Raw genomic sequence first — 6,449 nt, 5'->3', positions numbered from 1 at the left:
AGCTGGTGGGAGATACTTGAATCATGGAGGCAGTTTCCTCCACACTGTCCTTGTGGTAGTGAATAAGTCTCAAGAGACCTGATGTTTTTATAAGGGGTTTCCTCTTTCACTTGTCTCCCATTCTCTTTTGCCTGCCGCCATGTAAGACATGCCTTTCACCTCCTGCCATGATTGTGAGGCCTCCCCAGCCACGTGGAACTGTGAGTTCATTAAACTTCTTTTTCCTTATAAATTACCCAGTCTTGGGTATGTCTTTATCAGAAGCATGAAAACGGACTAATACAGCAGCTTATTTGAATACACTAAGAACTAGAAGATTACTTTGTTGTTGTTTCTCAGACCTCTGTTATTTTAAGAATGCATGAAAACTAAGTGTTCAAATCATCTCAGTCTCCCCTGAACTTCCCATTTGGCAGGTATTCTCTCCCGCTTGGCAAACACTAGTTTGCACCATGCTAGCCAGGACAGGACAAACACGTGTGCCAAAGACAAGCTCAGAATCAGAAAGAACGCCTGTTCTTCCACAGGGCACCCAGGAGAGAAGTGTGAAAATTCCAGAGCCCTCCTCACAGCGTGGCCTCGTACCACAGGATGCTTTGTTTAACAGACAAACAGACGTTGTCCTTGCAGGTGAGGCCAGCCCAGGGGGAGCCAGGAGTCCAAGGCAGCTGACTGCGGTGTGATGGGAATTTCTGGAAGCCCCATTCACCTAAACACTTCCACAATAAGGATGCTTGAAATTCTATGACAGAAGCCTCACTTGGGCAAATGAGAAGGCTCTATGCCAGAAGGGCTAGGACGCGCAGCTGCCACAGCCTGCTCAGCTCATTCTCCCTAAGGTTTGGACCACCCGGAGAATTTGAAGCCATAGGCACTGCCACAACGTGACTACCCAAGGAAGTGGCCAGGCCAGGATGCTGGTGAGAACTGTTCAGTGGATGTCAGGCCGCTGCACGGGCCTGACTGGAGATGGGGCAGGGGTGGGGACCACCCTTTAGAGGTTCTATAAGCTGAGGAAAGTCAAGAGGTCAGCCCAATCCCATTATCCACCTACCTACATGTCAATATTCAAATAAAAAAAGCAACTTCAGAAACAATGATTGTCTCCCACTGTTTATACCATCAAGTCAAAATTCCTTTACCTTGAGCTTTTAGCTCTGCTCACCACTGCCCTCCAGACCCCTCTCCCTCCACCTCCCAGCCACCTTTTTCATGGCTGGCGTTAAATTCTGCCTGTCCTTCCTGGCTAAAAATGCCCCTTTATTTTAATCACTGCATGTCACACAGCCTAAAGTGACCCCCAGTGAGTGGTAACTTGTATAATCTGCTCCTCTTGAGAGTGGTGGAGACTGTGGCTTGCTTCTAGGTCACACAATGTGACATGGGTGCTGGGCGTCACTCTGCAATTGTGTAAGACTCCAGCGTCTTTGCAGAGTCGAGTGAGAGATTCTCCTGTGGCTTTAAAAGAGCAGCTGCCATGCAGTCCACAGGCACAGGAATTGAATCCTGCTGACAACCTGCAGGAGTTGGAAGCATGTCCTTCCTGAGTTGAGCCTGCAGATGAGAACACAGCCCAGGTGACCCCAGATTGCATCCTGTGAGACCCTCTGCAGAGGACCTTGCTAAGCCATGCCTGGAATGTCTACTTACAGAAACGAAGAGAATAAGTGGTGGTGTTATAAGTACCACATTTGTGGTCATTTGTTTACAGCATGGAAAGCTGACCCCTCTTGCCTCCCATGGGGGCTGTCAAGGGCACAACCCAACTCAAATAAGCCCAGGGTGCAGTGGAGCCAGGGACTCAGTCCCCAGCAGTCTCCCATAGCACTGGAACCTCAGCCAAGGCTTGGTTCGCTGATGTGTTCTACAGAACAGACTCTCCTACAAGAGGACATCACAGGAAGAGATGGAAGAAATATATTTAAGATGCAAGGAGATTGGTAGGTAAAGACTGAAATGGTCAATGCCTGTGTTAGGGGAGCAGCCCTTATCATCCTATCATGAAAGTTTGTTCTCGGAAATAGACATCTATTCCATGGCAGCCTGGCCCGTGGAAAACACACAGAGGTCTCCACAAACTCAACCTTGGATCAAGCAGCCAGTCTGTTCTCTGCACAGGACAGAGGCCCCCGGCAGCCACCCTTTGCTAAGTCAAAGAGGACTTATTATTCCCTGCACAATCCAATTAACAGCATAGTTTTCTTTTAATAATCTAATTGAGGCACCAGTATTTGAAATAATGTGGCATGATTAAAGGAACTACCACCAAAACCCAAGCCAGCAATGAGAAAGTAATTTGATCATAGTGGCGTCTTTAATCTTTTAAACAAAACTAAGTTAAAATATATTAACCATGGATTCATTTTTTTCATGATTATCTTAGTTGTATAAATAAGCTTCTGCATCCGCCCTGAAAATCAAATTCTCAATGGACTCAATCATGTTGACTTAATAAAGTGGTAAAATAAATCTCAACTTAATAAACAACCTTGTAACCACATCTTTAACCGCTGGCCGCTTGAGGCTAAAGGAAACAAAACACTGCCTCCCCAGAAGATCTCTCTAATCTCCCTGCATTTCTGTGAGAGCAGGAGAGAGAAAACACACACTCGGTCCCTGGCTGACACGCCCACCGGCAGAGCTTGTCCAAGAGGCAGAAAGTCCCCATGCCTACCCACTAGGGGCCTGACGGATCCTTTCAGAAACTGGAGCTTGCTTCCCAGGAGGATGGAGTCTGGAACTCTGCACTGAGGAAGGAGAGTGAAGGGACAGCTGGCTGTGTCAAGCTTCCTGGCCTCTCCCCTAGCTGATAGGCCTAAATTCCACATCCCACCCACTAGGGACGCCTTTAACTGATCACCTGCCCCCCACACTTGAGAAAGTGAAAGGGACTGTTAGTAAACGTGCCGGGGCCACAGGCCTGCACGTGCTGCCTCACACAGCGGGGATGCACAGCCACCCGTCCCTGCCAGCCAAGGGATCCCTGTTTCCATGGCGCCCCCCCCCCCACCTTTGCTCCTGTGTCCCCTGACCCCTGTTCCCTGACCCCTGGGCTCCTGACCCTGGACCACCTTTGTTCCTATGTCTCAAGCCAGCAGCTGGCGGGGACTGGTCTCATGGCTGGGGCAGAGGTGGGAGAAGGGAGCGGGCCCTCCTTCACTCAGGACCCCAGGAAGCCTCTGAGTTCAGCCACAGCAGGGGTTTCAGGGCCCAACCTGGATGTGTTCTTGATGGCAGCTGGAGCTCCCTGTTTCCAGGTCACCGTGCCCAGATCCTCTGGCTACAGGTGGTGAATCCTAGAACAGACAGGAGTGAGTGTGCCCAGGCCCCAGGAGGGCACAGGCCACACACTTCACAGGCCAGGGTGGTGGGCCCAGACCCGTGACCCCATTATGTGGCCACAGTGCACTGCGGCCAGGTGGACGCACATCCTGGGGAAGCACTGGGGTCTCTCCAGGAACTTGGACTAAGCTAGGTGAGGTCAGCCATCTTTCAGCCACAGAGCGGGGAGGCCTCATAAAGTCACCACCCCAGGGCTGGTCATTGCTGTGCCCTACTCAGTGGCAGAGACAAAGCTTGGGGCAGGGCAGCGGGTTTCAGGGAGGAGGGGAGAGGAGGCACAGAGAAGCAGAGGCCAGAGTTGGAGCCCAGAGGTGTCTTAGAAACAGCTGATGTTTCACAGATAGAGCCCAGGGGTGTCTTAGAAACAGCTGATGTTCCAGAGATAGAGCCCAGGGGTGTCTTGGAAACAGCTGATGTTTCTAAGGTGCTCACCGAAGGCTCCGGGAGCACCACCATCGCATCCTCCCACGGCACTTCAGGGGCCACGTCCTTACCTGGGGTCGGAGGGGACAGGCTCGGAGAAGGCTGCCAGAGGTCACAACACTGATCGATAGAGGAGGCTGGACTCCAGCTCCGGTTGCCCTTCCAGAGGGAGTGCACACCACGGCCAGGAGCCCTCTGGGCCTGACCCTCCTGCCCAGGCAGGTCACCAGCGGGCCTCTCAGCCAATCCCCACAGGGTCAGCTTCTGCTGCACCCCAACTGTGTCAGGGACTCATTCCCCAAAATCGCTGCATCCACAGGACCCCATCAGAGGTCTAGACCACGCCCAAGAGGCCATGCTGGGAGCTGCTTACGTGAGAGACCAGGCCTGACGGGGGGTGCCAGGACCACGTGTGGAGTCACAGCCCGTCCCGGGGTGCCTACATCACAGTGCCCCTGTGGGTCTTAAGGGCCACCTTGGCCCCAAGCTGCTCCTGACCCCAAGGCCCCCACAGCTGGAGAAGTAACTAGGAGAGCCCTGCTTGGGCCCCTGGGACTGTGCTCTGGGCTCCAAGGACCAGATGAGGTGGGGCTGGCTGAGTACTTGATCCTGGAAACCAGGGGTCCCCAACCCCTGGGCTGAGGGCAAGTGTGGGTCCATGGCCTGTTAGGAACCCGGCTGCACAGCAGGAGGTGAGCGGCGGGCAGGCGAGCATGACCGTCCGAGCTCCGCCTCCTGTCAGAGCAGCAGCGGCATTAGATTCTCAGAGGAGCGCGAACCCTGTTGAGAACTGCGCAGGTGAGGATCTCAGTCGCCCCCTCCTTATGGGAATCTAACTAATGCCTGATGATCTGAGGTGGAACACTTTTATCCTAAGACCTTCCCCACTCCACCATCCGTGGAAAAATTGTCTTCCATGAAACCGGTCCCTGGTGCCAAAAAGGTTGGGGACCCGTGCTGTAAATCGTTTGGCAGCTTCTCGCCTGGGGGCTGCAGGATTCACACTAGGAGAGATCGTCTTCATGGAGGCCACTATGTGTTGGGTGTTGTCACCAAGGGGACAGGCGAAAGTCGAGAAGCCACCCTGACTGGCCGTGAGATGCTGGACGTGCCCCTCTGGCCGTTCTGTGACCAGTTCTGGGGCTGCAGCCTCGGACCCTGGGCAAGGTCGTGCCGGCCGCCCCGTGCAGGCCCCTTCCTTGCCGGTCATGGCCGGGCCTTGCCCTATTTGCCACCCCTGTGCAATGGGTCAGCAGGGACTGACCCTGTGGGAACAGCCTCCGTCCCAGGAGGTCACTGAGCAGGGGGCCCTGCTGACCACGGTGGCCCCGAGTGCCTCAGTGCACTGTGGCCTCTGCTTGCGTCCTTGTGAGTGGTGCAGTTTCGAGGCTCACTCGAATTGAGTGAGTAATGAATTGAGGAAAGCAGGAACATACTCGGTGGGGTTTGGTGCCATCTGTTTTAGAAGCACCTGCTCGATGCATCCTTGGTCTCTCACCCCTCAGCCCAGGCATCACGGCCACCTGGAGTGGCACGTGCCACGCAGCCACCCAGCTATTAGCAGGGAGCAGCCCTCGGTCCTCATCCCTCCTCAGAGCCTCCTGCCCCTGAACTCTGGATTTATGGGCTTCATCCCTGTGCCGGACCAGAGCCATGAGAGCAATTTCACCCTGGCGGCATTTGTCAAGGCTTGCGGAAGCTTCGGAGACGTACACCCTCAGCCCCAGTGTGTTCCTCAGCTGCTGCAGAGGCCGCCCCAGGGGCTCTAGAATTGTGGGGGAAGGGGTCAGCCCAGGGGCAACTGAGGCCCATGGGGACTGGGCCTGCCTCTGGCCACACAGCTGGGGCACCCTCATCGGCTTCCTGCAGCCTGTAGCCACCAGGCAAGGCATGGAGGCCGCCACTGCCCAGGGTGAGGAAGTCCGGGATGAGGATTTCATGAGGCTCCAGGAGGCCAAGGAGGGACCCAGAGGGGCTGTCCCTGAGGGAGCCTGGTCACCCTCCCCTCCCAGAGAGGTCTCAGTGGGACAACTGGAGCCAGGAGCAGACAGGAGGGTTCTGGGGCTGAATTTCCACCTGCCTTGGGGTCAGGGGATGGCGGCAGATGTCTGTACAGCTCAGGGCCCACCAGGTAGCCGCGCCTGCACGCAACAACTGTTGGAAAGGCTGTGAGGGCCGAGAACCTCCCAAGTCCCCAAGAGGCATATCTGAGATTGTATCCCCCTCCAGGAAAAATGTAGTCACTGTGAGAGTTCCCGCAGATGCTATGAAGCTCTCCAGACGCTGCGGCTGTGCACTCCTGGGACAGCGGCGTGTGTTTCCAGGAGCTTTTGGGGACAGCCCTTCCCTCGGTTGTGCCCAGAGGTTCCACCTCCGATGGTCTGAAGCCCAGCTAGAGACCCCTCTGGCTTCATCCTCCCTCCTAGCCCCCCGACTGGACTCAGTGTTTGACTGTCTGTGACACATCACGGTGAGGGTGGGGGATGGCAGCGCCCACAGCATCGCTGGGCTGATGGCAGCCCGGGCAAAGGACCTTTGCATGGACACCCTGGTCTGCCCTCTTCTCCACCCCTGCCTGGCCTCCCCAGGAGGAGGCTTGGCATCACACTTCATCAGGAAATGAGACCGCCAGCCACTGGGCCACCCAGCAACTCTAGGCAAATCCTCCAAAAACCCATACCCAG

General features: G+C 55.2%; 1 annotated feature.

The window, feature by feature from the left end:
* Positions 4,851–5,466: an enhancer, noted in NCBI's record as "H3K27ac-H3K4me1 hESC enhancer chr2:241107126-241107741 (GRCh37/hg19 assembly coordinates)". NCBI's record gives its function as "activates a minimal SCP1, AML or CMV promoter by ChIP-STARR-seq in naive H9 embryonic stem cells {active_cell/tissue: H9 hESC(naive)}" and the evidence as "EXISTENCE:reporter gene assay evidence [ECO:0000049][PMID:30033119]".

The sequence above is a fragment of the Homo sapiens genome, chromosome 2, assembly GCF_000001405.40.
Source record: "Homo sapiens chromosome 2, GRCh38.p14 Primary Assembly".
Taxonomy (NCBI): domain Eukaryota; kingdom Metazoa; phylum Chordata; class Mammalia; order Primates; family Hominidae; genus Homo; species Homo sapiens.
The sequence above is the reverse complement of the archived record's forward strand: the minus strand, read 5'-3'. Positions and strand labels throughout refer to the sequence as shown.